Raw genomic sequence first — 27,817 nt, 5'->3', positions numbered from 1 at the left:
AGAGAAAGTTATGGTGTTGATAAACAGAGTCCCTGTGCTCAGCAGTCTCCACCCACTTGTCAAGTAAGATAAAGATTTTTGGAAACAAAATTTATGGCTGTTATTTGCTAAAGAGAGTAATACATTCTTAGCACACTCTGAAAAATAACCACTATTTGCTGTATGAATGCAGATGAAACTCACACAAAAAGATTTATGCAGGACTGACATCGGGTGTTTGCAGAAGGTTCTCCACGTTCACTGACCTCTGATCCTCACTGCAGCTCTGCGGGGACTGTGGCCCAAGGATGAGTGAGCGTCAGGTCGGGCCGTGCCCTTAATCCCCTGGCTGCCCCTCACCACCAGGCAGAGACCTTGCTGGGACCCAAGGAGTTAAAGTGTATTCAGAGATGAAGGTGTTTAGGAAATGTTCTGGAACCTTCCAAACTGACTTTAGGCTGCGTGAGGTGCTTCCAGTTCAGTGCACTTTGGGCCCAAAAGTGTTTCCTGTCTTGTTAATGCACTGTGTTGTGTGCCATCACCGCATGGAGGTTTTGGCCATTTTTAAAAAGTGAATGGGCCCTCCCAGGGTCTAGTTGGATCGAGAGACCACTGGAAACCCTCACCAAGCTGCAGGCAGGTAGGCAGGGGCCCCAGAGCAGGCCTAGGGGAAGAGTCCCCCCGGCCCCTTGGAGGGTCTCTTCACGTGCTGGGTGCTGCCTGATTCCTGCGGTGGCATGGGGAGGTCACCCCACCTTGTTCTGAACCACAGCTCTGGGTGAGGAAGCCTGTCACCAGGTTAAAGGTCATTTGGGGGTTGGGGCGTGAGAACCGCAGTGCCCTGCTGGTAGGGTTGCCGCATGGGTGGCCAGGCTACAGCCTGGTCCCCGAGGCCGACCCATCCTGGGAACCCTGTGTGCAGCTCCCTGCCATGCTTGACCTTTGCCCTGTGGGTGGCTTTGAGCGGGGGAGACCTGGGTCTGGTGGTGGGCAGGGCAGGGGCGGAGGTGGACTTGGGTCTTTGTGACACTGCACCAATTCCCATGGATTCTGCCGGCACCCACTGCCCTCCTGAGCAGAGCAAAGGCAGCAGAGGCGGATGCCAGGGTCCGGAGGTGGCATCTACTCATCAGACACTTTCTGTAGTTTTATAACAAATTTGGGGCCTCATGTTAGACCCCAGCCAGACCAGGCTCCTGTCCTGGGGCTCAGCTCCCTCCAAGCTGCTTCAGGTTCAGTTTCCTCCATGCTTACGAAACCGAAGGGCAACGGGCACAGTCAGGGAGGCGTCAGAGGAGGCACCGGCTCCACTGTTCACACCGGGACCTTCTGCAGACGGGGCTCCCAGCCTCGACCAGCCCCGGAACCCCCAGCACGGGGACGTCCAATCTTTTGGCTTCCGTGGGCCACATTGGAAGAAGAACTGTCTTGGGCCACACATAAAATTAACACTAACAGTAGCTGATGAGCTAAAAAGAAGGTCTGTGCCTAAAGCTCATGTTTTAAGAAAGTTTACGAATTTATGTTGGGCTGCATTCATGGCCATCCTGGGCCACTCACAGTTGCGCCAGAGCCTCGGGAGCACAGGCCGAGCACCTGCCCTGCTTCACCCAGGGACGGGGCCCTGCACTGACCAGGAGGCTGTTGCCCTCCAAGTCGTCCCTGCCGGGAACAGCAAAGCACACAAACCTCCGAGAGACCTAATGGCTGCATCCTCCGTGCAGTGGGCACCACGCTTGCCACCTAGAAGAGTGGGTTTGGCAGATGTCAGTTAATAACAAGGATGTAAGTTTTAAAATCACGTGGGGGTTTGTAAACTTGAGGAATTACAGCACAAACACTTCCATATTATTAAAAGAAACAGACTGGGAGCATTGATTTTGACTTTTCTTCCAAGTACTTATCTATGATTTAAGTGAAACTGAGCATTCAGTGCTCTGTGGGAGTGAAAACTGCAGGCCCTTGCACTTGCCCACTGATTCATTCATTCACCCATCCACCCACTCATTCATTCAACTATCCATGCACTCGCTCATCCATCCATCCACTCATTCCTTCATTTATTCATCCATCTCCATCCATCCAGTCACCCATTCACCCACTCACTCATCTATCCACTCACTCACCCACCCATTCACTCATCCATTCACCCACCCACTCACCCACCCACCTATTCATTCATTCATGTATTCATCTATCTACTCACTCTCATTCACCCATTCATTCATTCATCTGTCCATCCATTCACCTATCCACCCACTCATCCATTCATGTACTCACTCATCTACCCACTCACTCATTCTTTCATTCATTCATCCATTCACTCACCCATCCACCCACTCATTCATTCACTCATCTGGCCACTCACTCATCCACCCACTCACTCATTCATTCATACACTCACTCATCCATCTATTCACTCATTGTTTTATTCATTCATCCATCCATCCATCCACTCACCCATCTATCTACGCATTTATTCATTTACCCACTCAGTCATCCGTCCATCCTCATTCATTTATCCATCCATCTCCATTCATTTACTCATCCACCCACTCATTCATTCTTTCATCCACCCACTCATCCATCCACTCATTCATTTGTTCATTCATCCATCTCTATCCACTCATCCATTCATTCATTCCCATTCACTCATTCATCCACTGATTCATTCATTCATTCATCTGGTTATTCACCCATCCACTCACTTATCCATCCATGCATCTGTCTGCTCACTCATCCATCCTACTCACTAATCTATCCACCGATTCACTCATCCATCCATTCATTCATTCATCTGTGCATTTATCCATACATGCATCTATCCATCCATCTATCCATCTATCAATCCATCTGTTCAGTCATTCATCCATTCACTCATCCATCCATCCACCCACTCATTCATGCATCCATCTGCCCATCCACTCATTTATTCACCCATCCATTCTTTCACGCACTCATCCACTGTCCATCTGTCATCCATCCATGTGTTTGGTGACGGCTCATGAGGCCTCTGGGGGACAGTCAGCACCAGGCTCGGTGCTGGGCAGGTAGATGTTGTCTTTTTCCTCTTGAAGCTTCAGCTAACAGTGCAGTGGCTTGGGGTTTGCTCACTTATTTTTATCTGTAGCTGTTCAAATAAAACAGAAGCAGATCCCCGGGGAAAGGATTTCCAGGGGCCAAATGGCGCCATTTCCAGCCTGGGAATCCCAGCTTCTTCCCCCTGTTGCCCTCACCTAACCCCAGCACGCCAACCCATTACCATAGGTCTTGCTCTTCCTAGGTTTAGAAGAAAGAGAGTCAGTGTGTACATAAGGAGCTCCTGGTTCTAAATTCCGGCCTCCTGAGTGGTGGCCTCTGCTCCATGGGGACTCCTGGGGGTGCTGCTCTGGAGATATGGCTAATGCAGGGCTTCAGGCCAAGGTTTATGGACCTGAACAAGCAGTAGTGCAGACAGGGGTGGGAGGGTTTTGAGGACAAAGTGCTCTGTGTTTGGTTCTGCAGGTCAGGGAGCTTATCTGGGTGCCTTTACTCAAAGCCATTTCTGGGTCTTACATCTTTGGCTAGAATGTTCTCAGGACAATGTGAAATGTCTTTATCTCAGGAGTGTATACCAGAATGTTCTCAGGACAACGTGAAATGTCTTTCTTTCTTGGGAGTGTGTACCAGAATGTTCTCAGGAAAATGTGAAATGTCTCTTTTTCTTTCTCTCAGGAGTGTATAGCGTTTTTAGGTTTATTCATCTTAGCTTTTCTCTTGCTCATGGTTTAACCATCTTTCCCCTAGTTTGCCGGTGGAATTAGCATATGCTTTCTGCCTCCATTACTGTCTCAAATAATCAAACATGCAAATTAGGATACAGTGCCCAGGGCTATAACCCTGTGGTTTCAGAAACCCCATTCCCATAGGTGTGGCGAACTGACAGGAGATTGGCATAGTTTTTCCATGAATAATGCCTTTTTGCAACAATAAAACTTGGTATTAATACAGATTACACATTAAGTAGTATGACTAGTCTTGATTTTGAAAAATAGAACACACTTGCTGTAAAGCTGTGGTAATGCAAGCATTTGTGTATAGTTAGGCCGTTTGCTCACTAGTTCTTAGTTGTTTTCAATCCCTGGCTTCTAAACCTGAAAGGACACCTTTTGCATCCCTCGCAAGTCTTTTATTTCAGAGCCAGAGCCTCCTGCTTTGAGACAAAGCCCCATCACTTCCCTTCTCCTTCCAAGCCTAGAAACCTGGTGCCACTTCGTGTTGCTCCAGGACTCCACCAGGGCTCACTTGGTATGGCTGTTCTTGCCTTTTCTTGGAGTTTGCCAACCCATGACTAAAATTGGAAGTGAGAGAAATGAGGGCAGGCATGAGGGTGTGTGTTCCAGGTCTGCAGCCCTCCTGGCCTTCAGGGCGGCCGCCCTCCCAACAGACACGTGAGCTGCACACCAGCTCACCCTGACCCTTCCTTTCTCTTAAGGGAGTAAGAGTTTAAGAGCATCCCATCTTTCCTAGAACACAACTTTGTGAAAACACATCCAAGCAGGCCTCAGGAGGGTGTTGGCAAGGCTGGGGCGGGGCCTCCAGGCTCTTCCCACAAAAGGTGTGGCAAGGCCAGCAAGTGTGGGAGAGAGGTGGGAAGGAGGCAGAAAGGCCATGCAGAGCCAGCGCATGAAGCCAGAGGCGCGTTGCAGACGGCGCTGGGTACCTACCGCCTCTGTCTGCTACTCTGCAAAATGCTACCAGCGCCTGCTAATCCTGACCTTCATGCCCCCAGGTGAATCCCACAACCATCCTGAAGCCGGGTTTCCTCATTCCTGATAATGGGATTAAAAAGACCTTCCTGGGTGTTATTTGTGAGGATTTCATAAAATAGTGTAAAAATGCTGACTCATACCCAGCATGGAGAGGCCGCTGGGACTATTCTGCCATGACTGTGGTCTCTTGGTTTAGAGCATTTAGGGCCAAACTGCTGGCATGGTTGACCCTAAGCTGGAGATTGGAGGCTGCTTTAACCAGGCTGTGGCCCTAGAATCTGTGGGCCATGGCAAAAGGATCCTGAAGAAGTTTCCGGCCGGCCTCTGCTGGCCAAGTGACAGGCAGGTGGTTCCAGGACTCGACAGCTCACTTGTGTCGAATGTGGACCTCGTCAGTGCGCTTTCATGGATAAGAAGACCCTTCATTACAGCCTCCATCCTCACCCAGTACCAATTTTGTTTCACCAATACTATAAGTGCAAATCAATGCCCGTGTGCCAAAAGAAAGGTCTTTGGGGTTTTGAGAGACCTTTGTGTCAACAGGGAACTAAGGTCTTTGGGTTTTAGAGACCCTTATGTCAACAGGGAACTAAGAGTGGGGTTTTACTTGGAAGCATTCTTGTCCTCCTGGGCAGGCCTCTCCCCTGGACACACCTGGTAGCACTTCCTACGCAGCTGGAAATGGCCCTGCCTTTGCTTGTTGGTCTCACAGCAGTCGTGCCCCGGTCACTTCCCCTCAGTTCCCCGGGTGGGGCGGCCCTCTGGCTGCCCCGAGAGCAGCCTCTGATTAACCAGCTGATGCTTATGTTGTTCAGAGACCCTCGTAGTGTGCCGGTCAATGCTTGCCTTTTCTTTTTCTTTTTCCACAGGATTATTTTTACCCAAGATACTTAGGTAAGTCTCAATTACTTCTCTACTCTGGTTGTCGTAGAGGCATAGTTGGGGGTGCGTGTTTCATGTTGGAGGAATCTCCTCACCACGTAACTCTTGGAAGGAAGATTCTTAATCACATGGTGCACGTGGAACTGTCCGGAACATGCAGGTCAGAAACACAAGTTTCTCTCTTTATTTTATACCACAGCTTTATTCCGTGTTAGTGGAACCTCAGGTGAATGCTGTTATCTGCAAACCCCTTCTCTGAGTTGATGCCAGGCTCAGCTCCTTGTCAGGACGTGTAATTGATTTTGTCCTCCGGTTTTCTGACCTCAGCACTAATCACTTCTGAAGTCATTGAGGACCCCAAAGGGGTCCATGTTCATGTGGGCTGTATTGACTGATATTTACCGTATTCTTAATTAAAACCGAAAACACTGAATAGTGTTTCTGTTTAATTTGAAGAACGGGAATGCCAGACGTTATCTCAGCCATCAGAGCAGCTGGTGCATGTGGGGCGGCCTCTGGAGACCCCCACTGTACACTTGGGAAGGGAGGACAGCAAGAAAGTGAAACCCAGAGACCCCGGGTCAGCCCGTTTAACTGACACCATCTTAGAGCTCTTTGAGAGCATTTCACTTAGAAGGAGAGAAATGTATTCCAGGGTCTTCTTTTTAATGTTGCAAAGTGCATTTTAGTAAATGTCCTCTTAAAGGGTCCTTCCCTGGGTCCATATCTGGAACAAACACAGTGGGTCTGGCACTGGCCCAGAAAGCCCAGGCACCAGCGAGGACTGAGTTCTGAAGCAGGGGGTGGCCAGCGGTCCACAGCACACCTGCAGGAGGCCTTCCGCTGTTCATCCGTGCCGTTCTGCGCCTGGATAAGCAACAGTAACCCACTGAAGGGCCAGGTCGAGAGGCCCCGCACCGTTCTGCACAACCTCACGCTTCGGGTTATCCCTGGATGTGCATGTGCCAGGCCTCGCCTCCCCCCGCCGCCCTAGCGGGATGTCTGCTGTCAAGCTGTGTTCAGCCAGCCAGAGAGCATGGAGGGGCTTTCTCCAAAGCAGAGTGGCTTTCCAGTTAAGCACAGCGTTTCCCAATGGGGGTCCACTGGAAAATGAAGTTTAGCTTTTCGAGTACCGTCAGGAACTTACTGAGCATTCCCGGTGATTCTCCCGTATGGCAGGAGGAGCCCCCTCGAAACGGCGGGCGGTGCTTTACGCACTTGACTGTGGGTGCACAACTCCGCTGAGTTGGTGGAGGTGGTTTCCTGTTTGTCAGGGTTGGGGCTAACATGTTTTTTATTAACACAAGCTAAGCGGCATTGTTTCTGGAGGATGATAGCACCCCAGGTAAGCAGAGTAACTGCCTCTCCAGAGCGTCTCAGAAGCAGAGGCTCTGCAGTCCATCCGGTCTTGTAAGGATGACTGACATCCATTCCCTTTCTTCCTGCAGACTGCATCAACAAGTATGGGTCTCCGTACACCAAAAACTCAGGCTTCGCCACCTGCGTGCAAAGTAAGTCGGCCTCCTTTGCGCCTTCCTGGGAGCACTGTGGGTTTGGGCGGCTTTAGGCTTGGCTGTGGTTTGTGGAGGGCCCTGAATAGTTCTGTTTTTTAAGGAGCTGTGGTCCCTTGCCGAGGCCTGCTCCCTTTTCGCCAAACTTTCTTTTTTAAACAAGTAAATTTTGACGTTTTTAGCAATAGGCAATAAATGCACATGGAACAAAATGTAAATGTTTCACAGAGTGTGATGTGAAAGCCCATCCCCGCCTCTGAGTCGTCCAGTCAGACACCACCGTAGTTACAGTTCCAAGAATCTTGTGCTTAGACATGTAAACATGTGTGAGCGGCCTTCCGCTCTTCACACGCGTGGCGGCTTAGCACACACGGTCTGTCCCGTGCCTCTGCAACTCTGTCTGCACAGGAGACCCTCTCTTAGCGTGTCTCACCTTCACGCTGGCATTTCCAGCCGGTGCATCATATGAACTTAGCCCATGCATATTGGCTGATGTCCAGGTTATTTCCAATTTCCATCATTTAAACAAAACTGGCGTGACATCCTCATGCACCTGTTGCCTCCCACACGTCTGAGTGTCTGCGGGATGCGTTCCCAAGGATGGAATCGCAGAGGCAGTCCTCATGTTTCCTTTGGATACAGATACTGCCAAATTATCCCAGAGCCAGCCTTAGCCTCCGCCCCTGCAGGGGTGAATGAACTGTTTTTTTAAACTTTTGATCTCTTCCAATGTAACAGGCGAGAAATGACATCAGTCATTTCAGGTTTTTTTTTTTTTTTTTAACTAATGAGTAAAGCTGTCCTTCATAGGTTTAAAAACTGTGTATTTCTTTTCCTATAAACTGTTGTTTATATTTTTTGCCTGTTTTTCTCAATTTGTAGGAGTTTGCACATTAGCCATTGGTAGTAAAGTTATCAAAAATTTTTTCAGCTTGCCACAAGTCTTTTTTATTATTTTAAAATTATCATGCAATAAGATTGATTGTTTTGGGTGTCCTGTATGAATTTTAACATACCTTCAGCACAACCCACACAGCTCCCCTTGCACTGGGTCTGTGGTCCGCTGGCGTCACGTGTGTCTAGTTTTAGATGAAAGTCCAGCTTGGTGAGTCCCTGTGGGCGCTGAGAGCAGAGGCGTGGCGGGACGGAGTCATCCTGGGAGAGGCAGGAGTCTCTTCCCAGGCATGGCTTTGGAGCTGGATCCCAGTCAGCAGAAGGAGTCAGAGGTGGCTCAGTCCCGCTCCCCAAGCCCCACGCACTGTCCGTGGGCGTCTCTGGCCTCCCGGACTTGTATCACAGACCCCAGCCCAAGAGACACAGGCAGAGGAAATGCTCAGTGTAAACATGGGAATGGGAGGGTGGCCCTGCCCTGTGGCCCGGCCTGCCCTGACCTGCAACCATGCACAGTAGCCAGGTGCCACGTAGGGCCCAATGTCTGCATTTGGGGCAGAGGCTCCTGCGTGCTCAGAGGAGACAAGCAGATCCTGTCACGCGTGTTTTATCTTAGTGATTGCTAAACCAGTCTCTTCTTTTAAATTCTGTATTCACACTTGTTATACTCTCTTAGTTCCTGGGCTTTAGGCTTCTCCCCAAGATTACAAAACAGTTACCTGCTGTTAGGTGTTTTCATCTGTGACCCGCCCGTAATTTCTTTTGACGTGATGGATGAGGTGGGGATCTAGACTGCAGGCTCAGTTCCTGCCCCAACACCACACATTTGAGTCTGTCTCACCCCAGTGCCTCACCTGCTGCCGTCCTCATATGCTGGGTATTTGGGAGATTTTCTGCCGGGTTTCCACAGGCCGTGGCCACAGCTTTAGACTCGGCCTCATGCACGCGGGTGGGTCTCCTATGCCCTCCTCAGTCTTTTTTCTGGTTGTCTTGCTTATTTTTTAATAAAACTAAACCTTAAAAATATTCTTAAAAACCTAAAAAAGCCCTTTAGATATTTTTAACTGGGCTTGCCATTCATATATCGGAGACTGTGTCTGAACAGTGTTGCGCTTTCCTAACCCCGGCACCGTCCTGTCCGTCCCTTGGAGCACTTTTCTTCCTGTGCGTCCCGTGCTTCCTTTGCTCAGTTCACTTCTGGCTATTTGCAGCAAAGAAGGCCGTCCTTTTCAAGGCGTCGCCTCGCTTCCTTGCATGGATGAAGAGGAGTGATTGCTACATGTTCCTTTCTGTTCCCGCCGCCCAATAGAGTTATCTTGTTTTGGTTATTTCCTTTGTGGCATCAGCGTCCCCAAGTGCGGCCAGCTGGGGAGAGGAGGGCAAGGTCAAGATCCTTGAGTTTGTTCCCTGTGTGATAGGAAGAGAATCTCTTGCTGTGGCTGGTGCCAGAGGCAACACATGCAGTTTCTAACGGGTCCACCTGCCCCAGGCCAGAAGCTCCGGCCACTCTCCCTGAGCCGGCCCTCAGAGGCTGCCCTGCCTGTGGCCTGGGGCTCTCAGCTTCTCCTCCAGAGCACGTGGCTGGGGCCTCTGATGTTCGCGTGCCTCAAAAGATGCCTGGCGGTGAAGAAGGTGCTTTGGTGGCCTGGCCACAGCAGGCAGCCTTGCACTCCCTTGGGAAGGCGCCTCCCGGAGGATGCAGCTGGGGCAGCCTCACACTCTGTTCCTGTTCATTGGTTCCCTCGTGAAAATTCTCTGACTTGGTGCTCACGGTGCTGTCCTGGCTTCAGTTCACTGGTTATCGGTCATTGTGAAATTAAAGCCATAGCCCCATAAAGTCCAAATTCAGCCCCAGACAAGCAGGCCCCCAGCGGGCCTTGCATGGGAGCCTGCGGCCCTCAGGCTGTCCCAGGACCCAGGCGGCACAGTGGACGGAGGGAGGAGGCCTGGGAAGAGTGTAGGCTGCGTTCCCAGGTGCCCCTGAAGAGCCTCTGCTTCCATTTCTTTCCTTTCCCACGGACACACCCAGCTTCTCCACTGCGAACGCGCCCGTCCTGCCATAGCGGCCACTTGGTGCTTGGATTTCTCGGCTCCTTTGACCCATGGGTTTCCCCAGGAAGGTCAGGTCCCCACAGGCGGTGGCCCAGGCAGCGGTCACTGAGCCCCGGCTACCGGGATCCCACCCCCGCCACGGGGAGTGTCCCCTCGCCCTTCCCTCGGGCAGACAGGGCTCTGGTCCTCGCTCGTCACCACCCAGGGAAAGGCCCTGGCCGCCCGCACCGGCTTCAGATTCCAGCCACAGCCACAGCCGCTCCCTCCTGTCCTTCAACGCAGTCATGGGCCAAGCTGAGATAAACCCTTCACCTCCTGAACAGGCGCTGGCGCCCAGGGCATGACCAGCCAGGCCACCGATACCCTAGGCCCAGCTTGCGGGATGGGGATCAGGGAGGTGGGCGGGGGTCAGGGAGGTGGACGGGGTCAGGGAAGTGGGTGCCCTCGGGGGCCTGCAGAGGTTTCTGTCTCCATCGCTTTCCCTGTTGTGTGGAGGAAATTCCACAGATATTTGCTGGGCACCGGCTGACTGTCCACCCCTCAGGTGTGGTTCCGTCCTTGCATCCTAGAGGTATCAATACATTCCCAACAGGGAAATAAACAAATGAGTTGGGGGAGGCCCCGGGGCAGGTGGCATGAGTCTGGGGACCGCTTAAGAGCTGGGCACCTGGCAGGAGCAGGCACTGTCCCTCAGCCTCAGGGACAGAGGTCTTTCCGAAAGGCATTCCAGGCAAAGTCAAGACCGGGTTCCCAGCCCTTTGCATCACATGGGCAGGTGTCCACTTCTGAAATGGCTTTAATCTCTAACCAAACATCGTAGCGGCAGCGCACAGCATCCCCCAGACATCCCTCCATGGTGGGGGCCTCTGAGGAGGTCAGGTTCTGGTGCCGGAGGGTTGGGCCCTGCACAGGCCGCCTGCCCTGCACGTGTCTGACTCCCTCCTGCCCCCAGAGCCTCTTCATCTGAGGCCAGGGTGGAGAAGCGGATACGCCCCTCATTTCTCTAGTTCAGGCCAGACCTCCCCGTTCCAGGCCCTGCTATGACCACATCGACGTCTCCAGACGCCCCGCGGACACAGCACCCAGGTACAGCCGGGCGACAGCAGTGTCAGGGATGGGGCCCCGGCCGGCTCCTGGCGGCTGTGCTGATGCAGAATCCCTGGTCCTGGTCCTCGTTTCCTCGTAACTCCGAAGGCCAGCCCCAGCCCCTGTGTGCTTCAGAGTAGAAAGCGTTTATAGTGACCTGCTGAAAATAGCATCTTAGAAACACTTCGAGACGCGAGCTCCGTCCACACCCACAAGTGTTCTGTTGTCAGTCATTTGTGCAAAACAAGCAAACGGAGGTGTAGGGAGGAAACTGTGGGGTGTACTGAGGAAACTGAGGCTTATAGAGGAAACTGTGAGGCAGACGGAGGAAACTGAGGTGTATGGAGGAAACTGAAGCATACAGAGGAAATTGAGGCGTATGGAGGAAACTGGGGCGTATGGAGGAAACTGGGGCGTATGGAGGAAACTGGGGCGTACAAAGGAAATTGAGGCGTATGGAGGAAACTGGGGCGTATGGAGGAAACTGAGGCATATGGAGGAAACTGTGGGGCGTACAGAGAAAATTGAGGCGTATGGAGGAAACTGTGGGGTGTATGGAAGAAACTGGGGGGCGTATGGAGGAAATTGAGGCATATGGAGGAAACTGTGGGGTGTATGGAGGAAACTGGGCATATGGAGGAAACTGTGGGGCGTATGGAAGAAACTGTGGGGCGTATGGAGGAAACTGTGGGGCGTATGGAGGAAACTGTGGGGCGTATGGAGGAAACTGGGGGGCGTATGGAGGAAACTGGGCATATGGAGGAAACTGTGGGGTGTATGGAGGAAACTGGGCATATGGAGGAAACTGTGGGGTGTATGGAAGAAACTGGGGGGCGTATGGAGGAAATTGAGGCATATGGAGGAAACTGTGGGGTGTATGGAGGAAACTGGGCATATGGAGGAAACTGTGGGGCGTATGGAGGAAACTGTGGGGTGTATGGAGGAAACCGGGGCGTATGGAGGAAACTGGGGCATACGGAGGAAACTGTGGGGCGTATGGAGGAAATTGAGGCATATGGAGGAAACTGGGGCATACGGAGGAAACGCGGGTGTACGGAGCAAACTGTGAGGCATACGGAGGAAACGCTGTGAGGCATACGGCGAAGCGTCGCAGAAAGAAGCCAGTGTGGTTGGGCAGCTTCCCCAAGAAGCCTGGGACTCGTAGCCAGGGCCTCTGGTGAGCGCGGTGCCTGGACCCGCCTAGGAGGACAGGGGCTGTGTCTGTGCCGGCCACAGGCAGTGACTGTAAGCCCTGGATGAGCTGGAGGAACTCAGCTTTGTGAACCACAGACCCGCCCGCCGCTCACCCTGGCACCGGGCACCCCTGACCCCGGCCAGGTGGGGATGGAAGCGGCTCCTGCACTGACAGCCGAGCCCAGACCCTCTGGTGGAAACGCCACATTCTACAGACCTGGTGGGAAACGTCACCTTGGGAGCCTCAGGAACAGAAGCGACACGCTGGCAGTGAGAGCCCATGCACTGAAGACTCGACGTGCCCCCACCAGGGCTGACCCCTTAGGACGATGCTGGCCCAGTGCCCTAGGGCCCTGCTGGCCCGGCCTGCACTTTTCCCAGGGACTGGTCCTTATTGAACTTGTGTGGAATCAATGGACCGGAGCCCTCTCTCAGCCAGCAGGGGGGCCCTACCCAGGGTTCCCCACGGAGCCCTGTGTGGCTAAGCTGAGCGTGGCTGAGTCCTCATGTGGGGCTGAGCTGAGTGTGGACCGCGCCCCTGAGCACTGCCATGCTCAGCCCCGAGCTGCTTCTGCTCTGCCAGCAGCCATGAAAGGATTCTTTGAGCTCCGGGTGTAATTGTCGTTCTTTCTGCCAACTTCCCGGGGCTCAGGCTTGCGTAACTGCACTGTCGGGGGCTTCCCTGCCTGCCTCTGGGACGTGGTTTGGGTCCGTGTCCTGGAAGCGTGTTTGTGAGCAGCTCCTCGTATGAATGTGTTTGTGAGCAGCTTCTCGGATGGGGGACTGCTTGGGAAGCAGCTGCACTGGCACGGGTTCCCACCCTCAGGCCCTCACCCGTTCCCCTGACCTCTGGCCCTGCAGGAGCTGAGCCCAGGTGACCACCCTGAGAAAGGGCAGAACACACCTGGCCTAAAGCCATCAAGACACGTGGAGAGGGGGCAGCTAAGCAGAAAGAGGGGGGCTTCCTGGAGGACCCCTCTGGCAGTGCAGCCTGGGCCTGGGGTCCTCCCCGCCACACCCAGCAGGGAGAGTTCACCAGAGATGGGCTAGGGGCTGGCCAGGGAAGGCAGAATGTTCCGAGTCTGCCTGGAAGCCCCCAGGTCAGCTGGGGGTTCTGTGTGCCTACTCCCTGGGAGGTCTGAGCTCCCAGGCCTCACGCCAGGCAGTTCCTGCTCCTTTGCCCTCAGCCCTTCCCACCTTGCGTCCAGGCCTGCTGGCACTCCCTCCCAGTTGATCTGAGTTTTCCTGGAGCCGGCCCCAGGGCCCGCCAGCCTATTCTGTCAGCCCTAGGCCAGCACAGAGGGCTCGGGTGCCCAGGGGCTGCCTCAGCCTGCGCCCCTCAGAGCTCCTCCGGGCTGGACCCGAGACCCCACAGCCGCCCCGATCTCAGCTGCGTTGGGCGCGCAGGGGTGGGGCAGCTGAACATGATTTTCCACTTTGTGTCCCCAATCAGACCTGCCTGACCAGTGCACGCCCAACCCCTGCGATAGGAAGGGGACCCAAGCCTGCCAGGACCTCATGGGCAACTTCTTCTGCCTGTGTAAAGCTGGCTGGGGGGGCCGGCTCTGCGACAAAGGTACGTGAGGCTGAAGACAAAGGCGGGGTCTCCCTCCATCTCCGACCCTGCCCTGATCCCCGCTCCTCACTCCCACTCCGGGGCACGGCCATCCTCAGGCTGCTCTCCGACAGCCCCAAGGAGGCTGCAGCCCTGAGGTATCCTGGAGCCCCAGGAGAATTGGGAGGAGCTGCAGTCTCCTTTCTGGGAGCAGGGCTGGAAGGAAAGGAAACACCAAGTGATGCCTCAGCACCCACTGATTGAAGGGCGGGGGGGGAAATTTCACCTCTGACCGTCCTTGAGTGCAGACCTGTGGTGTCAGTGGCACCCACTGATTGAAAGGCGGGGGGGAAATTTCACCTCTGACCGTCCTTGAGTGCAGACCTGTGGTGTCAGTGGCACCCACTGATTGAAAGGCCGGGGGGAGATTTCACCTCTGACCGTCCTTCAGTGTAGACCTGTGGTGTCAGTGAAGACCCTGGAGGAAGAATAGCTCCAGGGCCTGGTGGAGACCCATAGTGGAGAGCCCAGCAGGCCAGCCTGTCCCCTTTGGCAAATCCTACCCCACAGGTGGCCTGGGAGGGCTTTGCTAAGGAGTGGCCAGCTCTGGCCTGGCCTTGTCTGTCCTCGGCACCCAGAGGTCACTCCTGGCCTGCAGCCTCCTCCTGCAAGCACATGGGCATCCAGGGAGCTGAGCCCTGTGGGCTGTGACTGCCAGCAGCTCCCCAGGCTGAGACCGCAGCTGGGGATCCCCCATGCCCTCCCACCATCTACCTCCACACGCAAGGCCAGGACCAGGGGCCATGAAACGCTAGGGCTGCTGAGTGGGGTGTGAGGTCCAAGCCCTGGGGTCCCTCTCTGCTCCAGGGCTGGGCTGTGCACCTCTAGGATCTCTCTCTGCTCGGGGGCTGGGCTGTGCACTCCCAGGCTCTCTCCCTGCTCCAGGGCTGGGCTGTGCACACCCGCGGTCCCTTCCTCCTGCTCCAGTGCTGGGCTGTGCACCCCCCCGGCTCCTTCCCTGCTCCAGTGCTGGGCTGTGCACCCCCGGGCTCCCTCCCTGCTCCAGGGCTGGGCTGTGCACCCCCGGGGTCCCTTCCTCCTGCTGCGGGGCTGGGCTGTGCACCCCCGGGCTCCCTCCCTGCTCCAGGGCTGGGCTGTGCACCCCCGGGGTCCCTTCCTCCTGCTCCGGGGCTGGGCTGTGCACCCCCGGGCTCCCTCCCTGCTCCAGGGCTGGGCTGTGCACCCCCGGGGTCCCCTCCTCCTGCTCCGGGGCTGGGCTGTGCACCCCTGGGCTCCCTCCCTGCTCCAGGGCTGGGCTGTGCACCCCCGGGGTCCCTTCCTCCTGCTCCGGGGCTAGGCTGTGACCCCTGGTCTCCCTCCCTGCTCCAGGGCTGGGCTGTGCACCTTTGGGATCTCTCTCTGCTCCAGGGCTGGGCTGTGCACCTCTGGGCTCCCTCCCTGCTCCAGGGCTGGGCTGTGCACCTCTGGGATCTCTTCCTACCGTAGCCAGGGGCTGTGCACCCTTGGGCTCCCCTTCAGGCCTGTGCTTGTTCCCAGATGTCAACGAATGCAGCCAGGAGAACGGGGGCTGCCTCCAGATCTGCCACAACAAGCCGGGTAGCTTCCACTGTTCCTGCCACAGCGGCTTCGAGCTCTCCTCTGATGGCAGGACCTGCCAAGGTAAGGCCCTGGGGTGAGGCCTCTCTCCTCTCTCCTCTCCCCACCTTCTATTTTCGGTCATGTCTGCTCTTCTGCAAGCGGCTGCTGCTGGCTGGGTTCCTGTGGTTCTGGATGGGATGGGGCATCCTGCAGAGACTACACAAGCCCAGGCCAGCCGCAGCACAGGGAGCTGCTCGGCACCACACCAGGATGACTCACCCGGCATCTGAGGGCCAGGACTCAGGGGGCCGGCCCAGCCCATGAGGCCACACTGCTGGCTGTAGGGCCTCGTCCATTCCCCAGAGCCTCACAGAGCCTGGAAGTGCTCCAGGCACTTGTGTAGTGAGCTTGTGGGTCAGGGCTCCAGGCTAGGGTCCCCCCGCCGTCCACTCTCCCCAGCATCCCCAGAAGCACCCCGTTGTTGGTCTCCCTCTGTCCACTAAATATAGCCCTGCCCTCCCCACTTCCTTTCATATTTCAGTCTGGGGTTCCCTCAGCCCAGGGCCAGAGCTGGGGAGCCCCAGGACACCCCAGAAAGTCACTGTGAATGTGCGCGCCCCCGACGCTGTTCCAGGTGCTGCTGCTGCCACTGGCCCTTTGCCACTTTGCAGGGGGAGCACCTTCCTCCTCCCTCCCCACGTTGTATCTGGACATGCCCAGGCGTGTCCCTGAGAGTTTCTGGCATAGTTCTTAGCGCTGCTGCTGACTGTCCAGGACACCGAACTGCGTGGACAGGACAGACAGTTGCTCAGGGAGAAACAGCCCCAGGATCTGGAGAGTGAATCTGACCAGACAGGAGGGGCCACACCCCATCCCCCGATTTCAAAAGGCAGCTGCTATTTCTGTCCACTTTGGTGGTTCCCTTCCCTGACCACCCAGGAGTTAGCCCTGTGTGCAGATGACGTGATTCCCATCTTAACACATAAACCCATTTCCCCGCCGAGGACAGAGCCCCTCCCATCACTGCTCTATCCCTGACCTGGAAGACAGCAGCACCCCAGGTTTAAAGAGAGGTGAAGACTAGGCCGATCCTGAGAGATGACGTCTAAAGCATCTCCCGTGGGTCCCTGCACCAGTCGGGCACTCCCGGCAAAGTCTAGGCTCACAGTTACTGCCCACAGTGACAGAGGCATTCCCGTCCTCTCCTCCTCCTCCCCATCTTCCTCTTCCTCCCCACCATTCCCCCTCCTCCTTTCCCCACTCCCCCTCCTCCTCTCCCCACTCCCCCTCCTCCTCCCCCCCACTCCCCCTCCTCCTCCCCATCTTCCTCCTCCTCCTCATCTTCCTCCTCCTCTTTCTTCTCCTCCTCCCCCCACTCCCCCTCTTCCTCCCCATCTTCTTCCTCCCCCTCCTCCTCCTCATTCCCCTCTTCTTCCTCCTCATTCCCCTCTTCTTCCTCCTCATTCCCCCTCCTCTTTTTCCCCCTCCTCCTCCCCCATCCTTATTTCCCCTCTCCTCCTCCTCCCCCACCCCTCCCCACCCCCTCCCTCACCCCTCCCCACCCCCTCCCTCACCCCTCCCCACCCCCTCCCTCACCTCCTCCCCCACCCCTCCCTCACCTTCTCCTCTTCCTCCCTGCTTCTCCTCCTCCTCCCCCTCCGTCGTCCTCCCCCTCCGTCCTCCTCCCCCTCCGTCCTCCTCCTTCCCTTCCCCATTCTCCTCCCCCTCCCCCTCCTCCTCCCCCTCCTCCTCCTCCCCCTCCTCCCCCTCCTCTCCATCCTCTCCCTACCCCCTCCTCCTCCCCTCCTCCCCTCCCCCTCCTCTTCTCCCCCTCCCCTTCTCCCCCTCCCCCTTCTCCCCCTCCCCCTTCTCCCCCTCCTCCTCCTCCTCTTCCTCCTTCCCCTCCCCCCTTCCTCCTCCCACTCCTACTCCCCCTTCTCCTCCCCCACCTTTCTCCGTGCCCCTGCCTTTGCTCTCCTCTGGTGACTAAAGGGCTCTTCATTTCAGGGTTGCCCCTCCTACCCCAGGGTGCTTGGCCGTAAACAGCATCTGTCCCACATTAGATGCTCAAGTCTTAGGATTGTGGTTTAACCCGGTAGTGAAAATTGATTGAAACCAGTAAATGCTTCTCTTTGGGGTTGGGGTTTTAGTTTCAAATGCCCCCGGGGGGTTACTTTTTACGGCCCCGTGTCCTGTAGCACCGTCATTTAAATGGAACAGCACAGCGTGCACCGCCGCCCCCCACCCCTCCACCAAGCAGGGCCCTTCCCAGCTCTCCACCTGCTGGGCTGAAGTCAGCCTTCCCAGCCGGGCCTTGATCAGAAGCGTGCACCAACACCCCGGGAGCTGCCCGGTCAGGGGAGGAGGGCAGGGAAATGGGGCCAGGGCGCGCTGGCCCCACAGAGTCTGGATGCGACCTCTGGGTGGTGCCCTGGCCAGTCCCTGCAGCCGCCTGCCCCAGCCCCGTCTGAGATGCCGCTGTGCTGCGGTTGGCCGGTTTTTTTTTGCTTGCAGACATAGACGAGTGCGCAGACTCGGAGGCCTGCGGGGAGGCGCGCTGCAAGAACCTGCCCGGCTCCTACTCCTGCCTCTGTGACGAGGGCTTTGCGTACAGCTCCCAGGAGAAGGCTTGCCGAGGTACCCACGCCACGCGGTCACCCTCGCTTTCTCTGACGCCCAAGTCTAGACACGGGTGCCAGTCACTGCCCGAGCCGGTTGCTAACAACCGGGTGCTTCTGGTGAAAGAAAGTCTCTTTCTCCCTGTTTCTATCAGCCTGGTAATGGCCTGTGCTACCACCATGCCCGCACACACGTGAGCACACACAGGCACCCATGCCCCTTGTGCACATGAACGAACCGCACACATGCATATACACCGCATGTACACACGTGTGTACCCTTCTCCACCTGCATAGACGGGGCCTCTCCCCAAAGGGACGGGGAGCAGCAAGCCTCCCTCTACTGTTCTCTCTTTCCAGCCGCCATGGGGAGGGCCCTGTTGGCCGTAGAGCCTCTAAGAGGGGCCGTGCCCCCAGTGATGGGAACAGTGGGGCTGAGTAGGCAGACAGAGAGGGTGGGGAAGCCCAGGCTGCCTGCACTGACCTCCATTTCCCACCACAGCTGTCGGCCCCTCTGTGCTCCGGGGGACACCTCACTGCACAGCCCAGACCCTGTGCTTCCCAGACCTGCCTTCCACACCGGCCCGGCAGCGGGGGTGGGTCTGGCTCGTTGGGAGCACCCTCCTGGGACACCTGCGACATTTTTATTCCCTCAAGAAAGAGCCCGGGCAGGAGCAGGCCGAGGGTGCAACCTAGCTTTCCAGTGGGGGGGGACGCGACCCCCAAGCCGCCCCCGTTAGAATCTGCATGTAATTCCTTGAGCGCACCTTGCGTGTGGTTTGAGCAATCGCGGTGTGATCCCACGGCGGGACAGCGTAGAGGCCTCCCCGGCTCACCGCCGCTTCCCTCTGGCTGGCAGATGTGGACGAGTGTCTGCAGGGCCGCTGTGAGCAGGTCTGCGTGAACTCCCCAGGGAGCTACACCTGCCACTGTGACGGGCGTGGGGGCCTCAAGCTGTCCCAGGACATGGACACCTGTGAGGTAGGCGGCCCCTGGCCCCGCGGGCCCTTCACGGTGGTTCCGGGGGCCCTCGCCGGTGGGGGCTTTCGGGAGAAACACTTCCGTGAAGACCTGGCCTTTGCTAAGGTGTTGGGGATCTCCAGGGCCATGTGGAGGTTTGGGATGAGAAACGCTTCTGTTCCCTGGAAGATGTTTGGTTGTATTTATAGAGTCTCTATGGCAACTCCCAGCTCACAGTGGATCAGCCTGGTGTGGACCCCAGTGTGACACTCACGGGGGCACGGTCCCCACTCTGCCGCGTGCCAGGGAGCCAACGTGACCGACCTGTCACACCGGTGCCTGTCACACCGACCTGTCACACCGGGGCCTGTCACACCGGTGCCTGTCACAGCATGACCTACCTGTCACACCGGGGCCTGTCACACTGGTGCCTGTCACACCGACCTGTCACACCGGGGCCTATCACAGCATGACCTACCTGTCACACTGGTGCCTGTCACACCGACCTGTCACACCGGGGCCTATCACAGCATGACCTACCTGTCACACCGGGGCCTGTCACACTGGTGTCTGTCACACCGACCTGTCACACCGGGGCCTGTCACAGCATGACCTACCTGTCACACCGGGGCCTGTCACACTGGTGCCTGTCACACCGACCTGTCACACCACTGCCTGTCACACTGACTTGTCACACCAGTGTCTCACACCGACCTGTCACAACAGTACCTGTCACACTGACCTGTCACACCGGTGCCTGTCACACCACTGCCTGTCACACTGACTTGTCACACCAGTGTCTCACACCGACCTGTCACAACAGTACCTGTCACACCGACCTGTCACACCGGTGCCTGTCACACCACTGCCTGTCACACTGACTTGTCACCGGTGTCTGTCACACCGACCTGTCACACTGGTGCCTGTCACACTGGTGCCTGTCACACCGACCTGTCACACCGGTGCCTGTCACACCGACCTGTCACACTGACCTGTCACACCGGTAGGAATGCAGTACCCACATGTGGACGTTTCTGGGCAGGGCGGCTCTTGTCTTTCCTCTTCAGCCTGGGCCTGTGCCTGGGGGTTGATGAGAGTGAGCATTTATTTAAAAAGCAAAACCACAGGTGGAAAGAGTCACCAGGACAGCTTCTCGGAGTCGCAGACCTGGGATGCAGCCGTGGGGCTCTTGGGTCTGGGCTGCGACGTTCAGGGCTTCCAGCCAGCCCTCGCCTTGAGGTTCTTTGCCTCGCTGCCTCATGTACTCATGCAGAGGGTGTCGGACCCCTGCGAGATGTCCAGCTCACCCTGGCTGCCCACGGTGGGCAGGGCAGGCCTGGCTCAGCCCCAGCCCCTCCATCTTCCAGGGGTGTCAGCTCACACCGGCTTTGGTTCTGTCCCCCTTCGGGCAGCGTGGAGAAACCACAGCCCAGAACAGGGAACTTTCCAGGACAGCCATCTTCAAGGCATCCATATCTATTTCATAATAGTGTATACTTTTTAATGATTCTCTGTAATTTTTGTATGCTTGAAATATTTCATAATTTAAAAATAAAGGGTCAAGGGAAATGAGCAGGGAAGGAGATGACGGGGACCCCCGAGAAGCCCTGTGGGAAGCGGCTGCTGCAAGCCCGCCCTTCACCTGGGAGTCCCAGTGGGGCAGGTGTGACAGCCTCTGGGGTCTCAGCAGCTAGAGGCGGGGTGGCCACTCCCGAGGCACAGGAGGGACAGTGGACCCGCTGCGCGGCCGGGGCGTGGGGCTCAGGGGAGCAGGAGTGAAGGCCACATCCCCGACCGGCGTGGCCCCCGTCCGTGGCAGGACATCTTGCCGTGCGTGCCCTTCAGCGTGGCCAAGAGTGTGAAGTCCTTGTACCTGGGCCGGATGTTCAGTGGGACCCCCGTGATCCGACTGCGCTTCAAGAGGCTGCAGCCCACCAGGTGAGGAGGTGTCCACAGGAGGCAACACAACTTAGAATGGCCAAGACACTGGCTTCACAGGGCCCGGGCCAGGGTTCGGCCAGCAGGGAGGGGCCGGGCATCTGCCTGTGCCCAGTGCTGACTCATTTCTCCTGTGGGTGCCCAGGCTGGTAGCTGAGTTTGACTTCCGGACCTTTGACCCCGAGGGCATCCTCCTCTTTGCCGGAGGCCACCAGGACAGCACCTGGATCGTGCTGGCCCTGAGAGCCGGCCGGCTGGAGCTGCAGCTGCGCTACAACGGTGTCGGCCGTGTCACCAGCAGCGGCCCGGTCATCAACCATGGCATGTGGCAGACAGTGAGTGTGCGGCAGCCACCCCTTCCAGGCCTCACGGGGTTCTCCCTGAGCCAGACTCAGCTGTCACTCGCTTATGCAACCGTTAGGAGATGAGCTCTGGGGCCTGCATCTGCTGCGTGCCGGCAGGACGGGGACCCCTGCCCCGTTTAGTTCATGCTCCGGGAGACGGGGACCCCTGCCCCGTTTAGTTCATGCTCCGGGGGACGGGGACCCCTGCCCCGTTTAGTTCATGCTCCGGGGGACGGGGACCCCTGCCCCGTTTAGTTCATGCTCCGGGGGACGGGGACCCCTGCCCCGTTTAGTTCATGCTCCGGGGGACGGGGACCCCTGCCCCGTTTAGTTCATGCTCCGGGGGACGGGGACCCCTGCCCCGTTTAGTTCATGCTCCGGGGGACGGGGACCCCTGCCCCGTTTAGTTCATGCTCCGGGGGACGGGGACCCCTGCCCCGTTTAGTTCATGCTCCGGGGGACGGGGACCCCTGCCCCGTTTAGTTCATGCTCCGGGGGACGGGGACCCCTGCCCCGTTTAGTTCATGCTCCGGGGGACGGGGACCCCTGCCCCGTTTAGTTCATGCTCTGGGGGCTCACTGTGGTGCTCTAGGCCTCTCTGCTATTTCATCACGTTTCAGCCTGGCTCCCTCAGAAAGGGGCCTTGAGTGCAACCTGTCAGTTTGGTCTCCCTGAGTTTGGTCACCCTGGCTCAGGTAGAACCCGTGGTTCTCAGCCCCAGGGGACCCTGGGCTGTGTCTGGAGGCCATGCTGTTTATCCCGAGCAGAGTGGGGAACAGAAGCCAGGGCTGCTTGACGCTACACGCAGGGTGCCCCACCAGGGGAGGAGGCCGCCACTGAACCCGCACCACAGCCCAGAGCTCCCGCCGTACGTGTCTCCCGGGCCGTGGCCAGGCCAGGCGCCGCCCGCCCACCCTTCCCTGTAGGACGGCGTGGACGCTGCGGTCCCTGAGCCCTGGCTCCCAGGGCCTGCTGGTCAGTGCGGCCATGCATGCCAAGGGTCCAGGTGACCTCACGGGAGCTGCCCCTTGCCAGAGACGTCCTGACCACCTGGACCCCAGCCCCATGGGCAACCTGAGGGGTCCTGGTCAGACCTGCACTTGGGCAGCTGTGGGCAGCGGTAAAACGTGCCCACCCCACATCCCCATCCGTGGAGCGAGAGGGCCTGTAAGCAACCAGGCTCCCGCCCACAGCGCTGGGCCTCCCTCACCATACTGGGCTTGCAGAAGGAAACGTTGGGAAGAAAGGTGGAAAGCACGTCTTGCCCTTCAGAAACATTGTAGACTTGTATTTCCATCCTGCAAAGCAATGCCTCGCTCCATTTTTCCCAACCTCTTAAAGGAGCAGTATCTCCAAGAGCAGGAGGCTGTTCTCAGCAAAGCTACAGAAAGCAAAGGAAGCAGAAGCAGTTTCAGGGATGGAGCCCCGGGGAGGAGGGCCCCAGGGCAGGTGGCCTGAGGCGAGGTCGCCTGGGGGAGCGGTGTTGCAGGGGATGGAGCCATGGGGAGGAGGGGCCCGGGGCAGGTGGCCTGAGGCGAGGTCGCCTGGAGGGAGTGGTGTTGCAGGGGATGGAGCCATGGGGAGGAGGGGCCCGGGGCAGGTGGCCTGAGGCGAGGTCGCCTGGGGGAGCGGTGTTGCAGGGGATGGAGCCATGGGGAGGAGGGGCCCGGGGCAGGTGGCCTGAGGCGAGGTCACCTGGGGGAGCGGTGTTGCAGGGGATGGAGCCACGGGGAGGAGGGGCCCGGGGCAGGTGGCCTGAGGCGAGGTCACCTGGGGGAGTGGTGTTGCAGGGGATGGAGCCACGGGGAGGAGGGGCCCGGGGCAGGTGGCCTGAGGCGAGGTCGCCTGGGGGAGCGGTGTTGCAGGGGATGGAGCCACGGGGAGGAGGGGCCCAGGGCAGGTGGCCTGAGGCGAGGTCACCTGGGGGAGCGGTGTTGCAGTGTAGTCCCGCCCAGTGACTCACAGCGGCCGCAGCACCCCACCAAGACAGGCCCTTCCCCAGCAGGGGTACCTCATGAGGACCCCTCCCCAATTCCACCCTCTCTAGCTGCTGCCCAAACCCAGCTGACCCGAATTTGTACCATGTTTTTGTGACTCAGTTCAAACCCAAATACCTGAAAGGTGTTTTCACACAGGAAGAAGGATATTCTTCTGAAGCTCAGGAATATAGTGTATCTAGCATTAGACTTTACAGGTTTTCTATGAGGAAAGGTTTTGGTGACCACATTGATGCATCGAGGGCCCTCCTGGCCCAGATGATGAGCAGGGACTCTCTGAGGTTGGGACCCTCTTGGCTCAGGTGTGGATCAGGTGGTCTCCTTGAGGTCAGGTCCCTCTTGGCTCAGGTGAGGATCAGGTGGTCTCCCTGAGATTGGGACCTTCTTGGCTCAGGTGTGGATCAGGGGGTCTCCCTGAGATTGGGACCCTCTTGGCTCAGGTGAGGATCAGGTGGTCTCCCCGAGGTCAGGTCCCTCTTGGCCCAGGTGAGGATCAGGTGGCCTCCCTGAGATTGGGACCCTCTTGGCCCAGGTGAGGATCAGGTGGACTCCCTGAGGTCAGGTCCCTCTTGGCCCAGGTGAGGATCAGGTGGACTCCCTGAGGTCAGGTCCCTCTTGGCCCAGGTGAGGATCAGATGGTCTCCTTGAGATCAGGTCCCTCATGGCTCAGGTGAGGATCAGGTGGTCTCTCTGAGGTTGGGACCCTCTTGGCTCAGGTGTGGATCAGGTGGTCTCTCTGAAGTTGGGACCCTCTTGGCCCAGGTGAGGATCAGGTGGTCTCCCCGGGTCAGGTCCCTCTTGGCCCAGGTGAGGATCATGTGGTCTCCCTGAGATTGAGACCCTCTTGGCCCAGGTGAGGATCAGGTGGTGTCCCTGAGATTGGGACCTTCTTGGCTCAGGTGTGGATCAGGTGGTCTCCCTGAGGTCAGGTCCCTCTTGGCCAGGTGAGGATCAGGTGGTCTCCCTGAGATTGGGACCCTCTTCGCCCAGGTGAGGATCAGGTGGCCTCCCTGAGATTGGGACCCTCTTGGCCCAGGTGAGGATCATGTGGTCTGCCTGAGATTGAGACCCTCTTGGCCCAGGTGAGGATCAGGTGGTCTCCCTGAGATCGGGACCCTCTTGGCTCAGGGGAGGATCAGGTGGTCTCCCTGAGGTCGGGACCCTCTTGGCCCAGGTGAGGATCAGGTGGCCTCCCTGAGATCGGGACCCTCTTGGCCCAGGTGAGGATCATGTGGTCTGCCTGAGATTGAGACCCTCTTGGCCCAGGTGAGGATCAGGTGGTCTCCCTGAGATCGGGACCCTCTTGGCTCAGGGGAGGATCAGGTGGTCTCCCTGAGGTCGGGACCCTCTTGGCTCAGGGGAGGATCAGGTGGTCTCCCTGAGATCGGGACCCTCTTGGCTCAGGGGAGGATCAGGTGGTCTCCCTGAGGTTGGGACCCTCTTGGCCCAGGTGAGGATCAGGTGGCCTCCCCGAGGTCGGGACCCTCTTGGCTCAGGAGAGGATGAGTGTGGTTTTTCTCAGTTGGGAGCCCCTTCAGAACGTGCACTCCCATCTTTTCTCATGGCGCTGCCTCTCTTCAGATCTCTGTTGAGGAGCTGGCGCGGAATCTGGTCATCAAGGTCAACAGGGATGCTGTCATGAAAATCGCGGTGGCCGGGGACTTGTTCCAACCGGAGCGAGGACTGTATCATCTGAACCTGACCGTGGGAGGTATTCCCTTCCATGAGAAGGACCTCGTGCAGCCTGTGAGTACTGTACCTGTCCCTGTGTAGACGCGCCGTGTGCTGGGATCCCGGGAACGGTGTCAGGAAGCCTCAGTCACACCCTGCCCTGTGTTTACCATTAACCAGGTGTGAGGAGGACCTAGAGGAAGGAAAGGTTTCCTAGAGTTTGACAAAGTCGCCGTACAGCTATGTCATTAATTTTACCATCTCTTTTTATGAGACCTAAGTTTTCATCTGAATTGATAATAAAGTTGTCTATTTTTCAATGGAGATAAGACACAATTAAATTATTATTATTTTTTTTGAGACGGAGTCTTGCTCTGTTGCCCAGGCTGGAGTGCAGTGGCGCGATCTCGGCTCACTGCAAGCTCCGCCTCCCGGGTTCACGCCATTCTCCTGCCTCAGCCTCCCAGGCAGCTGGGACTACAGGCGCCCGCCACCACGTCCGGCTAATTTTTTTGTATTTTTAGTAGAGACGGGGTTTCGCCGTGGTCTCGATCTTCTGACCTCGTGAACTGCCCACCTCGGCCTCCCAAAGTGCTGGGATTACAGGCGTGAGCCACCGCGCCCGGCCGAAATTATTCTTTAACAGAACAGTAAACTTTTTTGGACAATTTCCAAGAACATTTTGGGTTTTGTAACTCTGCCGTGAGTCTCATAAGGGGAAAACAGCCATGATGGGCGGTCAGTGTGGGCCATTGCTCCAGGTCCCGCCTTCTCTCCCCTTCAGCACAGCACACGCCCGTGCCCCCGACCTGTGTCTCCAGCCCCCACGTGCTGACGTCTAAGCCGTCATCCTGGGTATTTTCACTTCCACACCAGGCAGGAGAAAGGCACGCATGTCTTCGCGTCTTTGGGTGCTGAGTGTCGGCAGTGCCTGTGCTGAAGCCACCCCTTCAGTGTTGTGAGGGGCACCTGCTCCCCAGGCCCACAGACTGCCTGGTGCCGGGACCTTCGGTGTTGTGAGGGGCACCTGCTTCCCAGGCCCACAGACAGCCTGGTGCCGGGACTTTGCCTGGCTGGACCCTCCTCGTTTCACAGATAAGGGGGTTGCCCTGATTTGCCCACAGCCATATTGAATATTGAATAATTCACATGAGTGTTGGATGGTTGAACAATCCATACTCTTTGACCTTAGACCCACATGGCCTTTTCAGTCCTTTCCTAGCTTTAAAATGAACCTTTAGTTCTTGAGCATACACCAGTGGAAATAGGTATTCTGCAGTGAGGCGTTGTGTAAAGTGAAGAAACCTTCTGTGAAATGGCCACCACCGATGGGACTGGCCCGTTTCTGCCGTAGAGCTGCACATACCAGGGCCGCGAAGGCGCCACCCACCGACTGGGGCATCCGGCATGGGGCTTCTCGCTCCCAGGAAGCCACGGAGATTTCTCTGCCTTTCCAGATAAACCCTCGTCTGGATGGCTGCATGAGGAGCTGGAACTGGCTGAACGGAGAAGACACCACCATCCAGGAAACGGTGAAAGTGAACACGAGGATGCAGTGCTTCTCGGTGACGGAGAGAGGCTCTTTCTACCCCGGGAGCGGCTTCGCCTTCTACAGCCTGGACTACAGTAAGTCTTGGCTCTTACCGTTGGGGTGGCTGTGGCTGCACCTTCAGACAGGCATACGCTGAAAGCAAGCAGACGGCCTCAGATGGCAGCGTCAGGACAAGCTGAGGCTCCTCCGGTTCCGGGGCAGGGATGGGTGGGCGGGGTGGGCGGAGGTGCGGGCAGAGGCCCACCTCTCAGGATGGCCATGCAGGTCACTCAGTTCAGAGTCAGCCAGTGAAGAAGAAATGAGAGAGATGTGCCGAGAAGGTGCCTGCGAAGCCAGTGCCAGGAGGCCGGGGAGAGAAGGTGCCTGCGAGGCCGGCGCCAGGAGGCGGGGGAGAGAAGGTGCCTGCGAGGCCGGCGCCAGGAGGCCGGGGAGAGAAGGTGCCTGCGAGGCCGGCGCCGGGAGGCCGGGGAGAGAAGGTGCCTGCGAGGCCAGCGCCGGGAGGCCGGGGAGAGAAGGTGCCTGCGAGGCCGGCGCCGGGAGGCCGGGGAGAGAAGGTGCCTGCGAGGCCGGCGCCGGGAGGCCGGGGAGAGAAGGTGCCTGCGAGGCCGGCGCCGGGAGGCTGGGGAGAGAAGGTGCCTGCGAGGCCAGCGCCGGGAGGCCGGGGAGAGAAGGTGCCTGCGAGGCCGGGGAGGCTGGGAGCCTTACAGGGTCCTTTGCAGAAAGTCCGGAGACAGCACAGCCTTAGGACTCGTCCAGGGGCACAGAGAAGCTCTCGGTAACATGGTGGACACCGTGGTCACCGATGACCCGGTGAGACAGCTACAATGGGAGGTGTGTAAAAACAGCCGTGAAGCTGCCTGGGGGACAGTGAACCTAGGCCTGAAAAAGGGAGGACAGGGTGGATGTGAGCTGCTGGCCCAGTCCTGTGACGCCACGCTGCCGCCCTCCCCAGTGCAGGCTCCGGGGGTGCTGCTGTGAGGATAGTGTTACTGCTCGGCCCCACCCTGCCTCACATTCCCACCCCACGTGGGCCCCACTGGGGCACCACAGCCCTGCCCTATTCCTGGACACCGAGCCGTTTATGGTGAAGCCCCCACACGCACAGAGGGCAGGCAGCGCCCCCTCCGTCAGATCTCAGGGCTGCCGGCCCTCAAGCACCCAGCAGGAACCCCAGGTTCAAGGGGATCCACGCGGAGCAAAGGGGAGGGTCCTGCCCCGTCCTGAGCCAGATCCAGTG

The 27,817-nt window shown here is 57.6% G+C and overlaps 1 protein-coding gene and 1 long non-coding RNA gene across 2 annotated transcripts in view, besides 9 other annotated features; one reads left to right on the top strand and one right to left on the bottom strand.

Annotated features, from left to right (window-relative positions):
• Window positions 1-27,817, top strand: part of GAS6 (growth arrest specific 6) — a 43,528-nt gene that overhangs the window by 10,427 nt on the left and 5,284 nt on the right. Inside the window, exons 3-12 of the mRNA NM_000820.4 lie at window positions 5,600-5,624; window positions 7,061-7,123; window positions 13,800-13,922; window positions 15,459-15,581; window positions 18,015-18,137; window positions 18,978-19,099; window positions 20,898-21,016; window positions 21,162-21,351; window positions 24,939-25,103; window positions 26,486-26,654. Of these exons, the coding sequence (NP_000811.1) occupies window positions 5,600-5,624; window positions 7,061-7,123; window positions 13,800-13,922; window positions 15,459-15,581; window positions 18,015-18,137; window positions 18,978-19,099; window positions 20,898-21,016; window positions 21,162-21,351; window positions 24,939-25,103; window positions 26,486-26,654 (1,222 nt within the window). The remainder of the gene's footprint in view (window positions 1-5,599; window positions 5,625-7,060; window positions 7,124-13,799; window positions 13,923-15,458; window positions 15,582-18,014; window positions 18,138-18,977; window positions 19,100-20,897; window positions 21,017-21,161; window positions 21,352-24,938; window positions 25,104-26,485; window positions 26,655-27,817) is intronic.
• Window positions 205-704: an enhancer, noted in NCBI's record as "H3K4me1 hESC enhancer chr13:114555919-114556418 (GRCh37/hg19 assembly coordinates)". NCBI's record gives its function as "activates a minimal SCP1, AML or CMV promoter by ChIP-STARR-seq in primed H9 embryonic stem cells {active_cell/tissue: H9 hESC(primed)}" and the evidence as "EXISTENCE:reporter gene assay evidence [ECO:0000049][PMID:30033119]".
• Window positions 705-1,206: an enhancer, noted in NCBI's record as "H3K4me1 hESC enhancer chr13:114555417-114555918 (GRCh37/hg19 assembly coordinates)". NCBI's record gives its function as "activates a minimal SCP1, AML or CMV promoter by ChIP-STARR-seq in primed H9 embryonic stem cells {active_cell/tissue: H9 hESC(primed)}" and the evidence as "EXISTENCE:reporter gene assay evidence [ECO:0000049][PMID:30033119]".
• Window positions 3,931-4,552: an enhancer, noted in NCBI's record as "H3K27ac-H3K4me1 hESC enhancer chr13:114552071-114552692 (GRCh37/hg19 assembly coordinates)". NCBI's record gives its function as "activates a minimal SCP1, AML or CMV promoter by ChIP-STARR-seq in naive H9 embryonic stem cells {active_cell/tissue: H9 hESC(naive)}" and the evidence as "EXISTENCE:reporter gene assay evidence [ECO:0000049][PMID:30033119]".
• Window positions 4,553-5,176: an enhancer, noted in NCBI's record as "H3K27ac-H3K4me1 hESC enhancer chr13:114551447-114552070 (GRCh37/hg19 assembly coordinates)". NCBI's record gives its function as "activates a minimal SCP1, AML or CMV promoter by ChIP-STARR-seq in naive H9 embryonic stem cells {active_cell/tissue: H9 hESC(naive)}" and the evidence as "EXISTENCE:reporter gene assay evidence [ECO:0000049][PMID:30033119]".
• The window catches only part of GAS6-AS1 (GAS6 antisense RNA 1), a 27,232-nt gene continuing 10,223 nt past the window's right edge, over window positions 10,809-27,817 (bottom strand). The window contains exons 2-5 of the long non-coding RNA NR_044995.2: window positions 20,071-20,158; window positions 18,886-18,966; window positions 15,403-15,573; window positions 10,809-11,281 (exon numbers count right to left, since the gene is read on the bottom strand). This is a non-coding gene — a long non-coding RNA (GAS6 antisense RNA 1). The remainder of the gene's footprint in view (window positions 11,282-15,402; window positions 15,574-18,885; window positions 18,967-20,070; window positions 20,159-27,817) is intronic.
• Window positions 13,643-14,219: an enhancer, noted in NCBI's record as "H3K4me1 hESC enhancer chr13:114542404-114542980 (GRCh37/hg19 assembly coordinates)". NCBI's record gives its function as "activates a minimal SCP1, AML or CMV promoter by ChIP-STARR-seq in primed H9 embryonic stem cells {active_cell/tissue: H9 hESC(primed)}" and the evidence as "EXISTENCE:reporter gene assay evidence [ECO:0000049][PMID:30033119]".
• Window positions 14,391-14,943: an enhancer, noted in NCBI's record as "H3K27ac-H3K4me1 hESC enhancer chr13:114541680-114542232 (GRCh37/hg19 assembly coordinates)". NCBI's record gives its function as "activates a minimal SCP1, AML or CMV promoter by ChIP-STARR-seq in naive H9 embryonic stem cells {active_cell/tissue: H9 hESC(naive)}" and the evidence as "EXISTENCE:reporter gene assay evidence [ECO:0000049][PMID:30033119]".
• Window positions 15,498-16,050: an enhancer, noted in NCBI's record as "H3K27ac-H3K4me1 hESC enhancer chr13:114540573-114541125 (GRCh37/hg19 assembly coordinates)". NCBI's record gives its function as "activates a minimal SCP1, AML or CMV promoter by ChIP-STARR-seq in naive H9 embryonic stem cells {active_cell/tissue: H9 hESC(naive)}" and the evidence as "EXISTENCE:reporter gene assay evidence [ECO:0000049][PMID:30033119]".
• Window positions 15,599-15,658: an enhancer, noted in NCBI's record as "active region_8044". NCBI's record gives its function as "activates an Ori minimal core promoter by ATAC-STARR-seq in GM12878 lymphoblastoid cells {active_cell/tissue: GM12878}" and the evidence as "EXISTENCE:reporter gene assay evidence [ECO:0000049][PMID:35858748]".
• Window positions 16,159-16,368: an enhancer, noted in NCBI's record as "active region_8043". NCBI's record gives its function as "activates an Ori minimal core promoter by ATAC-STARR-seq in GM12878 lymphoblastoid cells {active_cell/tissue: GM12878}" and the evidence as "EXISTENCE:reporter gene assay evidence [ECO:0000049][PMID:35858748]".

This window comes from Homo sapiens, chromosome 13 (genome assembly GCF_000001405.40).
Source record: "Homo sapiens chromosome 13, GRCh38.p14 Primary Assembly".
In the NCBI taxonomy this organism is placed as follows: domain Eukaryota; kingdom Metazoa; phylum Chordata; class Mammalia; order Primates; family Hominidae; genus Homo; species Homo sapiens.
The sequence above is the reverse complement of the archived record's forward strand: the minus strand, read 5'-3'. Positions and strand labels throughout refer to the sequence as shown.